This window comes from Homo sapiens, chromosome 10, assembly GCF_000001405.40.
Source record: "Homo sapiens chromosome 10, GRCh38.p14 Primary Assembly".
NCBI lineage: Eukaryota > Metazoa > Chordata > Mammalia > Primates > Hominidae > Homo > Homo sapiens.
The window spans coordinates 29,342,821-29,358,932 of NC_000010.11; the positions used below are offsets into that span (position 1 = coordinate 29,342,821).

At 43.5% G+C, this 16,112-nt stretch overlaps 1 annotated feature.

Moving 5' to 3' along the window:
* Positions 1,303-2,502: an enhancer, noted in NCBI's record as "P300/CBP strongly-dependent group 1 enhancer chr10:29633052-29634251 (GRCh37/hg19 assembly coordinates)". NCBI's record gives its function as "activates an origin of replication core promoter dependent on BRD2, BRD4, P300/CBP, MED14 and CDK7 cofactors, with strong dependence on P300/CBP, by STARR-seq in HCT116 cells {active_cell/tissue: HCT116}" and the evidence as "EXISTENCE:reporter gene assay evidence [ECO:0000049][PMID:35650434]".

Consider the following 16,112-nt stretch of genomic DNA (forward strand, 5'->3'; position numbering starts at 1 on the left):
ACTCCTTGCCTCTGGATTTTCAGGGAGGCTGAACTGAGTAATAATAAAACTCTGCTCTCCCGTTTAGCCAACTCTACCTGTATTAAACTCTTTCTCTATTGCAATTCCCCTGTCTTGATAAATCAACTCTATCTGAGCAGTGGGAAAGACGAACCCATTGCGTGGTTACAAAGATGCTTGGCATCTTTTACGACAACTTCCTGTAAGTTCTCTTATGATAACTTGCATCTTCAGAAACATGGAGCACGTGTCTGAGAATTAGAGCTTGATACAAAGTCAGGGTAGTGATCTAACTCTTCTGTGCTTATTTATGTAGCTCTGCTTCCAACACCAACTGCAGATGTCACTGAATATTCTCTGGAGTCTCCTTTCAAACCAATTTTAATCCCACTAAGATTAAGAGCAAATATGGGAATAATTGAGATAGGATGACTTCGTGACTATCTTGATAGAGATGTTGTGACTATAAACCTGTTGATGGTCTTGGGCCACACTACCATCTTTGCATTTCCAAGGCTTTTATTTTCCCCAATTCCATTCTACTTTGTAATCTTTGACTTGTTCACCAAGACTTTTTCTACAACCTGGGTAGAAAAAGTCAACGTGTGGTGCCAAGGCTAATTTTTTTCTTTTTCCCAAATGTTCAATTTCCCACTTAGCAATAACAGACTCTGAGCTGTCTTGCAGAAGTCGACGTCTCTGAGAAATTTGTTCTTAAGCTCAAAGTTAGCTAACTAGATTTCCTGGGAAGTCCCTTTCTTACCTTACAGAGCAAGGGATGTTCCCACCTTCCCTTGTCCACACTTACTCATAAAATCTTTCTGATCATTGACTTGAAATTATGCTTAAACTCGACTTGAAAGAGATGTGTGTGTGCGTGTGTGTGTGTGTGTTTCAGTCCCACTTCCTGTGGTTTGAAAAAAACTGACAGTTCCTGACTGAATTTTATCTTTCCACTCTGGGAGCCACACAGCAGAATTATATTGCTTAGTAAAACAAATGGACTACAGAGGGTCCCTTATGTGGCCGCTTGAAAACAGGAAGCTGGAGTGTGATGGGAATGGCTGGTTTTACATAATGAGGCATGCTCGGGGCTGCAAACACCGCCCTGTGGGTTAGAGGCTAGACCTGGGGAAGTAAAGCCCATCAGGGCCTGATCCGTCCAACCCTGGAGTCTTTGTTTGGCTTGGACAGCCACACCCTGGGACCCATCGCCAGGCTCCTTTTGCAGGGTCCAGGCCCCACATCTGACACAGGTCTTAGCAGTAGAATTACTCTCTTCTTCCTGCACCCTGAAAATTGGCAGGACCATGGAGAAGGTTTCCAAACACATCCCCCACTTGTTCACTGTCCCGTGTATCTCCAGAGCAAGGTTGCCTCCGGGACCCACGTAGGTGGGCCTGACCGCAAGGAAAGCTAGTGTCCTTTTATGAATACCACTAGAGGAAGAAGAGAGCGTGTCCAAAGGATGCAGATGTGAGTAATCAGATGACGAGAAAAAGCAGAAGGGCACTTGGCATTTCCCCTTCACCTCCACGATCCCTCCCTGTGCTGGATGCGGACACGTCTTCCCTTTGTAACTTTGGCTCCGTTAACTGGGAAGAGCCTTCCAAAAGGCCACAGGAAGGTCTACATTTGAAAAACCAATCATTTCCTCTACTGCTGAGAAGTGAGCCAGAGCGACCTAACCTCCACTTCACCCTAGGTAATGAGGACTTGGCTTGCAGTGGTCTGAAAGGGTAATCTCCTGATTGGCCTCCAGAGAGCCCTGTGCCGGCTCATTTATGAAGCTTTAAAACAATTGCAAGTCTTCGGCAAAAGGCCTTCAGGGGCCACCCACGCCGGACATGAATCATTTGCATGTGTATCATTCACTTCCCACCAACAATGCCACCCACAGGCTGCATGGAGGACCCGGGGCTTTCAAAGAAGGGAAGAAAACTTCAGCCGTGCAAAGAAGCCCTACCGAAGTCTAAGCTCCTGCCCTCCTGGGGGAGGTGGGGGGTGCATTCCTCAGGCCAAGAAGTCGGACTCTGACTTCCTTTGAAATCCCTCCTGGTGACCAACACGGAATTAGTTAAACTAGTAGGCACTTGGTTGCCTGATCTCCCACGCCAGATTTTCGAACCAAAAAACCAAAAACCCTGGTGAGCAACAGAATTATTACAAAAGGTCCAAGAGTCCATGTTTGTACACAATTTTCCCATCGAAAGCTATTAAGAGTCCAGCTTGATCATATGGAATGTGTGCACATTTTTATTTTTACTTTTAAAAGGGGTTCCATGTGCTCAAAAATGTTGGAAACTCTGGGCAGAAGTCACCAAGAGAAATCAGAAGTTCATTCTGCCCTAAGCAACTTGGATAGCTTAGCAGTACTGGGGTGTCAACCACTCCACCAAGTCTAGGGTGCCCAAACCTGTGCCCAAGTAGAAATACGTTACTTAATTTGTTCTGATTTTGTTTGTTTGTTTGTTTGTTTTAGCAGGCAGGAAGACATTTTCAAATTCCAGAAATGCTGACGGACCTCCAGCGTTTCCATGTTCCTCCCCACCTGAAGAATGTTAAGATAAGCTTAATGTGATTATAACGAGACTTATATGCCCAACAAGCATAGTTTGGGAAAGAGATTTGCTTTGAATACTGTGAAATAAGCTTTAATCTGTCAGGTTTAAAAAAAAAAGTTCCTGTGAATTAATAATGCAAACAGCACTGTGCTTTCTGAGTGCGACTATAAAAGAATTTAATGACCTCCTATTGTGTCAAGCTGTGGATTAACTTCAATTTTCAGAAGATCCCAGGATGCAGGAGTCAGGGTTTGAACTCCTGAGAAAAGTAAATGCTAAACCCTAAATGGCCACTGAGTAAAGAATCCTATTGTCCCCGCTGCATAGCAACCAGTCCCAGTAGGAGGATATCCTACTTTGGATAAAATGAAGTGTCCAGAAAGTGAAAACAGCCTTGACACCAGTTTGTGTTAAAACTATATGAATATTTAAAATGCTTAACATCTGATCAAATAACTGATTCCCGAAGATTAGCTCTAAACCTTAGACAAGTAGTACAGCGGTCATTACATTTCGTAATCACTTTCAGGCCGAACTCAGTTGGGGTGGACATTTCAATTCACAGAATCAACTGCTAGGTCCCCATTTAGGAACTCCATTCCTCCTGGGTGGGCTGACGATGAAGCCCTTGTTACTCCCTGGTGTCACATAGCACCAGCTTATGTCTTAAGGGCAATGCTGGCGTGAGGACATGAGAGTAGAGCCCCACAAATCAGGAATGTGGTGACAAGAACTGCACAGTGGGGCAGGGAGCTAAGAGAAGGGTCCAGTGGGGATCCATAATGGGCAACACAGAAGGTAGCTGTGCACACAGGCACCAGAGTCTTCATCCTGGGCCACTGCAGAGAGCCCCCTAAACCCAGAAAAGAACTTGCTCCCAAACAAAATCAGATTTACAAGGAAATGAATCTTGGAGAGCATCTCCCCAGGGCCTTTGGCCTCCATCAGCTGGGACACCCACGTTCCCAGAAGGAGGATGGCCACCTCCTCGGTGGGATTTCCCAAGGGCTCCTGCTAGAATGCGATGGATTTCCCTGGATGGCGTTTCACAGCGGAAACCGTGGGATTGATTTTGAACGTAATGGGTCTGTATGTGCTTCTGAAAGCGACCTCCTATAAATCATCTGCTCCTCAGATGGCCCCATGAGGTAGGGAAGCTCTAAAGCTTGCTTTCTCTGTTACAGAAGGAAATGAGCACATCATCGCAGCCTCTTGGTAAACTGCACCCCCTCCCTTCCTATGGGTGAACTAAAACAGGAAAAAATGAAACTGGCAGATGTGAGAAAACTGGGAAAGATCCAACAAAGGAAACCAAACTTTGTTTGTAAAATATAAAGAGAGGATGAGGACCCCTCCTCCAGGATCTCTGTGTGTCTGCCTCTGTCCTAGCACTGACTGCAGTGACACTGCATGTTTACATGACCATCCCTCCACAGAGCACATTTTCCAAAGGGCAGGGCCATGTCTTCCATAACCTGTATTCCCAGTGCCCTACTCATGCCTGGGACAAACACACAACATGGGAGGTGCTCCTGAATGTGCAGGTACTAACAGGGAGAAGATGCAGTGGATTTAACTTGGAAGATTATTAAAGGAAGGTGCTGCATGTCTGCAGACAATGATTCAAGTTAGGATAAATGCGGAGGCAGAATTTCTGGGGAAAAGGCCTAGCAGACAAAGGAGGTAGGAGTCTAGAATGTTCCTTCAGTCTGGTCTACTCAACAATCTTTTCAAATGCAAACTACCGTCTTAGCTTAGGATGGGGAAAGATCCACTTTCTTAGAGATGGGAGCTTGCAGCCACCTGTCACACACTTAAAAAGGAATTTGAGTCCTGGTGCAGTGGCTCACGCCTGTAATCCCAACACTTTGAGAGGCCAAGGTGGGCAGATCACTTGAGGTCAGGAGTTCAAGACCAGCCCTGGCCAACATGGTGAAACCCCATGCCTACTAAAAATGCAAAACTTAGCCACATGTGGTGGCACATGACACATGACTTTAATCCCAGCTACTCAGGAAGTTGAGGCAGGAGAATCACTTGAACCCCGGAGGTGGAGACTGCAGTGAGCAGAGATGGCACCACTGCATTCTAGCCTAGGCAACAAAGTGAGACCCTGTCTCAAAAAAAAAAAAAAAAAAAAAATAAAAGAGAGAGAAGAATTCGATAGGACAGTTGAGGCTACAACAAAGCACCCTCCCTGGAATTGCTACTGTGGGCCAGGAGAATTCTCCCAAACACACACACACACACACACACACACACATAATATTTGTTTATATATGTCCTTACATATATTATAAATATATAGTTTACATATTATATATGCACATATTACATATATATGTGTGTGTGTATCTATTTAACTTCAAAATTTGGCCTGAGAAAAGCCATTTTGCTTTCCTTTACAAAAAGTTTCCAAGGAAATTTAATCTCATAGATGTTTTGTTTCTAAATGGGAAGCTGGACCACAATGCAAGAGATTCTTTCTGATAATTAACTTTTGTTCTAGTAGCTAAAATGCTAAGGGGAATTTTTGGTGTATTTTTGTCAGAATAGCTCAAAATATGAGCCTCTCCTGAATTCCAACAATCTTATTGGTATCAAGCTTGGTTCCCAATTTAACTCTCTGGTTCTTAGATTGACCAAATGAGTTCTCTGTGTTCAGTCAGAAATGCTATAAGAGAGTTTTAAGAGTTTCTGAGACAATTGTCAGGGTAATCATCACAGACAGGCTAAAACAAAGAAAAATAAATCATATCCCACTTTTCCAATCACTCTACCCAGATTGCTATCCTACCAACATCCCCTAAAGTATGTGATGCTATTGCTGTGACAGTTTAAAGAGTAAACCATCTGGGTCCCATTTCCATACAACTTTTGCTGACATTGATCATCTTATCCTAGGCTCTTCTCAGGTGAGATGAGCTCCTAGGGGTTCTCTAGCAGAAAATTTTCCGTGAGAGCGTCAATATCATCCTTCAATTCCTTCTTTGTTCCGTGGCTCTTCCTCATAGCAATGCTTCCTTCTTATCTACTCATCAGGCTAGCCTAGTTTTCATTCATTCATTCATTCTTCACTAGCTGTGATAGTTACTGAGTGACTATGACAGACAAGGTCCCTGCTCTTATAGAATTTACATTCTAGCAGAGCAGAGCAATCTAGCAATAAAACAAAAATTAATTATCAGGAGGCTCTTTGGGGTTTACCACAGTGGGAAGAGAAAGTGATTTAACTGACCCCAGAAAAAAAATATAACCCCTTAAGCATAAATGGTATAAGATGTAGAGGAACATGCAGGGTCCTGCTTTTACTAGGAAGCCAAGTGCCGGTCGTGCGGTGCCTTGCGAGGTCGTTCTTGGTCTGTAGAGTGGCTCTGTGCTGATGGGTCTACTTGTGCTCCATTCTCAGGCCCACTAAGTGACTTCTTTCCAGACAAGGACTTGTTTATATCTGAGGAATCTACTTCCATAATACGAAAGCTGGGGAGCTCACCACAGGAAGTTTCAGGATGCAAACCCAGGAAGAGAAGGGTGGACGCTCAGACCCCATCTGTTTGCACCAAGACATCTTTGCCAGCAGCCTTCACTTTCCTCGCCTTGGACCTTGGCCACATTATTGATTTCACAAGGTCTCAGGCTCCACCGACAGCCATTCAGAAGAAGGCCAGAGTGCATGTGGAATCACCGCTTTGCCACATGATGATCTGCTTAAGACAAAGTCTACACTGCAGTAGAGCCAGGCAGGAGTTTAAGACCAGCCTGGCCAACATGGTGAAACCCCATCTCTACTAAAAGTATAAAAATTAATTGGGTGTGGTGGTGGGCACCTGTAATCCCAGCTATTCAGGAGGCTGAGGCAGGAGAATCGCTTGAACCCAGGAGGTGGAGCTTGCAGTGAGCCAAGATCATGCCACTGCATTCCAGCCTGGGCAACAGAGTGAGACTCTGTCTCAGAAAAAAAATACACAAAATATATGAACAAGTTAATTTTTAATTGCTTTTATAAAAATGAGGTCTCACTATGTTGCCCAGGCTGTTCTCAAACTCCTGGCCTCAAGCAATCCTCCCTGCCCTGGCCTCCCAAAGTGCTGGAATAACAGGCATGAGCCACCATGCCTAGCCAAGTCAATTTACTAAAAGTCAGCTCAGTATATACCCAAAGGAATATAAATCAATCCTTCTAGTATAAAGATACATGCACACATATAGCACTATTTACAATAGCAAAGTCATGGAATCAACCTAAATGCCTATCAGTGATAGACTGGATAAAGAAAATGTGGTACATATACATCATGGAATACTATGCAGCCAAAAAAAGGAATGAGATCATGTTGCAGGGACATGGATGGAGTCGGAAGCCATTATTCTCAGCAAACTAATGCAGGAACAGAAAACCAAACACTGCATGATCTCACTTATAAGTAGGAGCTGATTGATGAGAACACATGGACCTGTGGTGGGGAAAAACACACACTGGGCATCTGTAGGGGCAGGAAGGGAGAGCATCAGGAAGAATAACCAATTGATGCAGGGCTTAATACCTGGATGATGGGATGATCTGTGTAGTAAACCACCATGGCACACATTTACCTGCACACGTACCCCTGAACTTAAAATAAAAATTGGAAGACAAAAAAAGGAACTGATGAATAAGATCAAATAAAATCATTGTTGATTGAAGTTAAAAAAAAAGTCAGCCCAGTAGAAAATGGACAAAATGCTTGAAATGCCACTTCATAAATGAGAGTAATATTCAAATGGCTAGTAAACATATTAAAAATGCTCAATTTTGTTTGTAATCAAGGAAATGCACATTGAAATCATAGAGATGCAATTCCACACTACCAAAATGGCTAAAATTTAAATTAAAATTGCCAAATATTGGCAAGAATATGTAACAACTTGAACACTCCCACACTATTCATTAGAGTGCTAATTGGTACAAACCCTTAGGAAAATGGTTTGGAAATTATTACTAAAGCTAACATATACATACCCTTCGACTCAGCAACTCCACTCTGGGTTTTCATGCCCAACAGAAATGTGTTCACTAATAAACACTTACCTGAATTTTTTTAGGAGTGCTGTTCATTGGAGCTAAAAACTGAAAATTACCCAGGTGCACGGCAATGGTAGCATGAATGAATACATTACGCGATATTCACACAATGGAATACAGGTTGAGTATCCCTTATCCAAGTGCTTGGGACCAGAAATGTTTCAGATTTTTAATTTTTCAGGTCTTGGAATAGTTGCATTAAACTCACTGGTGGAACATGCCAAATCCAAAAATCTGAAATCTCAATCTCAATCTAAATGCTCCAATGAGCATTTCCTTTCAGCATCATGTGGGTGCTCAACAAGTTTCAGATTTTGCAGCATTTTGGACTTCAGATTTTCAGATTTGGGATGTTCAACCTATACTGTACAACAGTGAGAAAGAATCACGTACTCACAAAAATATGGATGAATATGACAGCCATACTATGGAGGAAAAGAAACCAGACATTAAAAGTCTGGTATACACTGCATGATTCCATTTCTATAAAGTACACAAACAGACAGGATAATGATTACCCCACTTAGGATTAGTGCCTGGGAGATAACACAAAAGAGAACTGGTAACATTGTATTTCTTGCTCTGGGTTCTGGTTTTATGGATGTGTTCAGTTTGTGAAAATTCATTGAGACTACGATGTGTGCTCATTTCCGTATGTATATTACATTTCAATAAAAAGTACCACAAAACCTATATACCACTGTTGCTCCTGCTTCTGTTCTTGTGGACACCACACACAGTAAAAGCACATATATCAACTTTCCAAGTCGACATGTAATTCAAGACATACAGTGCACTTTAAGCCTGCCATGAATATATTTTGTAGAATAATGTAAGAATCGGAGAAATGGGCCACTCGGCAGTTCTACAGAGTTTGGGTGTGTGTGCAAGCATGGAAGAGTGGCATGTGGTTTTCACTACTAATGGATTAGTAAAGTATAATAGGAAAAATATGATGCCCAAAAGAAAGCCAACTGCCACTGCTGCTCTGGAACTGGCCCAGATGCTCTGGAACTGGCTCAGAACTGAGAAAAGCTAAGAAATGATACCTGGAAACAGAAAGTTCATGGAAGAGAGCACATGCTAAGGTTTTATTCTTTTTTTTTTTTTTTTTCTGGGACAAGATCTCACTCTGTTGCTCAGGCTGGAGTGCAGTGGCTCAGTGGCTCCTCTCAGCTCACTGCAACCTCTGCCTCCCCAGCTCAAGCAATCCTCCAGCCGCAGCCTCCCAAGTAGCTGGGACTACAGGCACACACCACCATGCTTGGCTAATTTTTGTATTTTTTTTTTGTAGAGATGGGGTTTCACCATGTGGCCCAGGCTGGTCTCCAACCCCTAGCCTCAAGCAATCTGCCTGCCTCAGCCTTCCAAAGTGCTGGGATTACAGACATGAGCCACCACACTTGACCTTCTTCTTAAATGAGAGAATCTGCTAAGGTTTTATGTTAAGGGCCTATTGGCCTGCTTTACATTGTTAAATTTTTTCTTAACAGGTGAAGCTCTAGGCTCTCCAACTAGATTATAAGCTCATTAAGAACAGGGGGTTGTTTTGTGTCCTCCTTGAGTGCTAGGCACATCAATGTCATTTTTTTTTATTTCGTTATGGTTAAACGTATTTACAGAGACATCCTCAGTTTTAAAATCGGAGACGATGCATTCAAGGCTGAGGCAGAAGCTGCTGGTTGGATGGTGGTTGGATGGGGAGGGAGCTGAGAAATTGATCGCCTGAGTGTCTTTTGTCCTCTCAGGAGGAATGACTGACTGCAGAAATGGGAAAGGGAGACTATAGCCCCTGACTCCTGTTTGCAAGTATGAATCAAGGGATGATTGAGGGTTGAACAACACACGCCTGAGCCAATCTTGGAAGCCCATTGCAAAATTGTGCACCAAATTTGGTTCAAAACCTTAAACTTTCATCCTATCTGGAACCTCAGCTTTCCAGAGTTTATTTCATTTCCTAGTGTTATGGGTTGAATTACGTTCCTCACAAATTTACATATAAAGTCCTCACCCCTAGTACCTCAGAATGTGATGTTATTTGGAAATAGGTTTGTTGCAGATGTATTCGTTAAAATGAGGTCATACTTGTGTATGATGGGCCCCTAATCTAATATAATTGGTGTTCATATAAAAAGGGGAAATTTGAAAACACACACACACACACACACACACACACACACACACAGTACCACTGGGACCATGATTCTTCAAGCAATGAGCCTTCATTCCCTGCAAAACACTAGAAGACAGTCAGGAGGCATGGAACAGATCCTCTCTCATAGCCTTCAGAGGAAAGCAGCAGTACCAACACTGTGGTCTCAGACTTCTAGCCTCCAGAACTGGGAGAAAATAATTATCTGTGGCTTGAGCCGCCTAGTTCGCAGTACTTGTTGCAGCAGTCCTAGCAAAGTAATCAATACCAAGTGTTGAAATTTCATGATCGATTACAAAGCAGATGACTCTTCTTGTTTTTGGTTTTGATTTTTTGTTTGTTTGTTTTGAGACAAAGTCTCACTCTGTCACCCAGGCTGGAGCGCAGTGGCATGATCTCGGCTCACTGCAACCTCCACCTGTGGGATCAAGCGATTCTCTTGCCCCACCACGCCTGCTAATTTTTGTATTTTTAGTAGAGACAGGGTTTCACCATGTTGGCCAGACTGGTCTTGAACTCCTGACCTCAGCCTCCCAAAGTGCTGGGATTATAGGCAGAGCCAACGCGCCTGGTCAGACGTACTCTTCTTTAGTGATGCACCCTGGCCTGCTAACAGCATTTATAATGACATCGAGGGTCTGTGTGTCTGAATGTGGACATTTCAGAAAACATTTCTTCACCTTTGAAAATAAACAAAATATTTTGCCAGGTCTTTCACCAAAAAGTCTTCAAAGTGAATGGGACCTTAGAGATCGAAGGTTCAATCCCCTCATTTTAGAGATGAAGGCATTCAGGTTCAGAGGTGGGAAGTCACTTGTCCTAGGTCAGTAGGTTTGTTGGAGACAGAGCTAAGAGTCCCAGCTTCCAACTCTCAAGTTAGAGATTTTTCTGCTGGATTGCAGCCCATTCTGCTGAAAGTTTATGCAGACAAAGGAAATAAACACTCTTCCTTTGAGATATGGCTATACTCGAAGTGGCAGGAATCCTACCAAGGCCCTGGAGAAACTATTACATTGTAAATCTTAAAAGTAGTAAGATATTTTAATATTCCAAGTCCAATATAGTCCAAAGAAGAATCGAAGAGGCCAAAATCTAATTATGTCTCTGAATCTTTGCTTAATCCAACAGGCTATTTGGTATTCCTATTTCAACATTTTGGGGTGTTCCAATAGGAAACTAAACACATTGGGTACATTGACTTTCAGACTTGTAACAAATAAGTTGTGCCAAACCACACAATTCCACCTCAAGATAATTTTCCCCAGTGGGACAAAATATAAAACAACAGCAGCCAGCGAGTGTACATTAGTTGAAAACACCCACATTGCAATCCAAATCATGTGCCACTATTGTTCCTCTCTCTGTCTCTGTCTCTGTCTCTCTCTCCTCTCACCCTTCCTTGCTCTCTCAACCTTCCCAGCTCTTTGATTCTACCAGGAAAAGAAAAGAGCCTTTCACACCAAAACCTAGATGATGGATCAGTTGACCCTGAAACCAAGTTCAGCTATTTCATGACTGTGTGAGAGTGACCTTGAATAATAGAAATAGCTGCTGGAAAAAAAATGCTTTTCATACTGAAGGGTAGAAAAACAAGAATGACAGTAGGCTCTACATTTCAGTCTCTATGGTCTGAATGTGTTCCCCCAAATTCATATACTGAAACATAGTCTGCAGTGTGGTATTAAGAGATGAGGCTTAGGGGAGGTGATTAAGTCATGAGGGCAGAGACTTCATAAATGAGATTAGCACCCTTATAAAAGAAGCCTGAGGGAGCTTGTTAGCTCCTTTGCCTGTCCTTTGTGTGAGGACACATTGAAGGTGAATCTAGGAGGAATGAGGCCTCGCCAGACGCCAAATCTGCTGATGCTTTGATCTTGAAATCCCAGCCTCCAGAACTGTAAGCAATAAATTCTGTTGCTTATAAAACTCATTGTAAGGTATTTTGTTATAACCTCTCAAATGGACTAAGATGCAGTCTATAAACCTTGATGGGACTCTTAGTCTAGAAAATTGCATTTTAGATAATACATTCCACATTTTTAGCACTCTAATAGCTAATGTGCATGGCTCATTATTTTGCTGATAAATAATATAAGCCATTCTAGAGGTCAATGAGATGCTCAGAAAAAAAATGCTGTCTTGATACAGAAAGAAGGAAGACTAGTTTTTTTTTTTTCAGGTTTTTAAGCAAAGTTTTTAACTGAAGCATAACATGCAAAATGAAAAGTACACAAATCATAAATGTATGGATTAATGAAATTTTACAAAATATGCACATTTGTGTAATCACTACCCAGACAATGAATAGAATATCACCAGTTCTCCAGAAGCTGCCTATGGGCACCCTCTCACTCCCTCCCCTGTTCCTCCTCAAAGCTAACCACTATTCTGATATCTATCACCATCGATTGGTTTTTTTCTTCTTCTGAACTTTATATATATGTATATATTATATAATCTTTTGTGTCTGGTTTCATTCAACATTATGTTGGTGAATTTAATGCACACTTGTTGCACGTAAACAGTAGTCCATTTATTTCATTGCTGCATTGATTCCAATGTATACACACACCAATATTTATCCATTCTACTGTTGAGAGACTTTTGAGTTGTTTCCATTTTCTATTATGAATAGTGCTGCTATAAACATTCTCGTGCATGTTTATATTGGCTCTTTCTATTTCTCTTGGTATGCCTGGTAATTTCTTTTTAAAATTTATTTACTTTAAGTTCCGGGCAGGCTTGTTACATAGGTGTGCCATGGTGGTTTGCTGCATCTATCAACCCATCACCTAGGCATTAAACCCCGCATGCATTAGCTATTTGTCCTGATGCTCTCCCTCCCCTTGCCCCCCACCTCCCTATAGGAGCTAATAATAACATGTTAACATATGTCCCTGTGTTGTTTTTCAGAAACTCAGATCCTCCACCAAGTGGTTCTGCTGGCATGCAGACCTCAGATGTTGGGAAACTGAGAACTGAGCTCTGATTGAAGTTCTTTGCTCTAAGTTTCTTCCGGAGGGGCCGGGAGGAAGTCACAACTACGGGCCAGAGCTAACATTCCTTTCTGCTGACCCCAAGTCTTTAAACAAAGCTCCTCTTTCTAACCAATTGCAAATCAGAAAATTTTTTAGTCTACCTGTGATCTGTAAGCTGCTGCTTCAAGATATCCCGCCTTTTTAGGCCCAACCAGTGTGTAGCCTCCATGTGTTGATTTATGCTTTTGCCTATAACTTCTGCTTTCCTATTTTTTTTTTTTTGAGATGGAGTTTCACTTTGTCACCCAGGCTGGAGTGCAGTGTCATGATCTCGGCTCACTGCAACCTCCACCCGCCAAGTTCAAGTGATTCTCCTGCCTCAGCCTCCAGAGTAGCTGGGATTACAGGCATGTGCCACCACACCCAGCTAATTCAGTAGAGATGGGGTTTCGCCATTTTGGTCGGGTTGGTCTTGAAGTCCTGACCTCAGGTGATCCCCCCTCCTCGGCTTCCCAAAGTGCTAGGGTTACAGTCGTGAGCCACCACACACAGCATAAAATTTATGCTGTCTTTAAAAACCCCTACCTGTAAGGCACTGGGGAGGTCGAGTCTTAAGCATGAGCTGCCCAATTCTCCTTGATTGGCGCTCTGCACATTAATGCCCTCCTTTCTCCTGCTGCAAGCCTCAGTGTGGATGTTTGACTTTATCACTCCAGGCCAGAGGACCCCATTTGGGTTTTGTAACATTGGGAGTGAAGGAGAAGTTATATTGGTTTTATGCGAAATCAGTGTTGCTTGTTCTTGTGGGGTTCAGTGAATTGTTCCCAGGAGCAAAGGAGCTGAATGCAGGCATGGCCTGAAGCTACAAGCATCACCCCCATCCCTTCTCTTGGAAAAATGCCTGTGAAAATACACTGGTTTGGCTTGCTGATGTCCTCATGTCTCTGTGATTTAAGACTTAGCAACCTAGGATGGAATCAAGGTAGAATTCTATGTTCTTGAGAAATTGCCTTGTGAAGGCCTGAGAGAAGACAATCCCACCAGCGGCCACCCCACGGAGCCACCAATCCTGGCACAGGAAGTTGTGGTTTGGGAAGTGGGCTTTGAACATTGTTCTTCTCCCTGGGTCTGGCTCCCAAGGGGCCGGTGGGCTGTCAGCCCCCTTCCCCACCCCCAAGTGACTCTGAAATGAAGATGTATAGACTGGCGTTTTATTGAGATGGACTCTCAGATCAACAGCCATAAGTGTGTACAGGAAGCAGGACCCAGCAGAGGGAGAAGTAGACAAACTTGCAGTCATCACAAGGTAGACTCCGCGGATCTCATGCCATGCCCTGGAGCTGGAATGCCCTTCAGTGTCACTCCCAATTGTGGAGCAGGGACCAGGCCTTATACCCCTGCCTGAAGCAGTCTTTGGATGTGGGCTGCCCCAGGGAAGGGCAGAACCTTGGGAGAGTAGCTCTCTTGAGCTGAGGCCAGTCTGTGGTCACTGCACTGGTCTGAGTCTCTCAGGAACTTGTTAGAAATGTGCATTCTTGTGTGCCATTCCAGACCTTCTGAATCAGGAACTCTGAGGGTGGGTCAAAGAGTAACCTGTGATTTAACAAAGCCTCCAGGAAATGATACAAAATGAAGTTTGAGAGCCACTGCCCTAGGGCAAGGCCTACAGAACTTGCAGAGAGTTTTAATAGCCACTCTCCCAGCAGGAATGGAAAAGTCCTACGAAAAGGGTTCTATAGGTCAGCGGTGGTGGCTCACACCTGTAATCCTAGCACTTTGAGAGACCAAGGTGGGTAGATCACCTGAGGTCAGCAGTTCAAGACCACCCTGGCCAACACGGTGGAATCCTGTCTCTACTAAAAATACAAAAAATTAGCTCGGTGTGGTGTCAGGTGCCTGTAATCCCAGCAACTTGGGAGGCTGAGGCAGGAGAATCGCTTGAACCTGGGAGGCGGAGGTTGCAGTGAGCCGAGGTTGCACCATTGCACTCCAGCCTGAGTGACAGAGCGAGAATCCGTCAAAAGGAAAGAAAGAAAGGAGAGAAAGAGAGAAAGAAAGAGAGAGAGAGAGAGAAAGAGAGAGGGAAGGGAAGGGAAGAGAGGGAAGGGAAAGGAGAAAAAGGTTCCATAAACTAAAAATAAAATCCAAAGCCCCCCAACCAATTGAACGGACTCTCTCTTGGCCAAGGGAACCCCAGAGAAACCTTAAAAACTGAGTTCCTAGCCAGGATGGGAATCAAGTCAGACACACCTGGTTATACTCCTCCCTTGCAGTTTAGACGCAACTGGCCAGCATCCATGTTAAAGCAGAGATGATAAAAGACTGACGGAAGGAGCTCTTTGTGGCAATAAGATACCAAATTACAATCAGGAGCTAAGGCCAGGGCAGGCAGGGGTTAAGCTACCCCCTACTCTTAAAGAAGAAGCTCTGTTCTAACTGCCACAAGAGTTTTCTTTTCCTCTAGCAGATAAACAAGCACTGGCCTGGACATAAGCAATATTGAAACGACTTGCAGCTCGTCCACAGCCAGCAGCTGACTAGCTGACCCCCTGTTCTACCAGCCGTTATCGCAGCTTTGATTGAACAAGAGACTGATTTCAGTAACTTTCTCCTGATAAGAGCCCACAGACCATGCACTGGTTCTGGCCAGTTTACAAAGGCTGTGCACAGAATGCCTTCACGTCCCTGCTTCCCGCTTTGACGTATAGGGCCTAATTCTAGCGCATTTAAATGTTAAGTGTCCACCCCAAAGTGAACATGGGGCATATGTGACATGCATGTTCGGTACACGTGGGTCAAGACCACCTTCTTGAATATTCGTAGCTCCTGGTGTAACCTGTTAAATATGTATACTTGTCCAACCTGTTCAGCTTAAATTCCTGTCTTACCAGTTCCTCCCTCAAAGCTCTCGATAACAGTCTCTGCCTCCATTGGAGACCAGCTCCCCAACCTATCTGGAAGACCCCCTTGCAGGCTGTAACCCTTTATAAAAAATAGAGTCTCCTTTTCAAATTTATAAATGGTGTGATTTTTAAGTTAACTGTCACGGCATCAGTGACACAGGCTCAGAGATCTCTGGGAGGTGGGCACAGGATGGCCACTGCCTTACGGAAGAAGATTGGGAGCCAGGAAGTTTGGGGGGCAGGGGGTGAAGATGAAGACAGCCTAGATCTTGAGAGCAGAGAATGTAAAAGCAATTCTAACTTTCACTCTCCATTGTATTTCTCTTATGTCATCACCAAATTGTCAATAAAATGTCAAAAAATGCACAGTCATCTATAAGTTTTATGTGGAATTAGAAAATACCTGTCTTTTTTTATGCAAAGGAAAGATTAACCTCTCCACCACCACCAGGA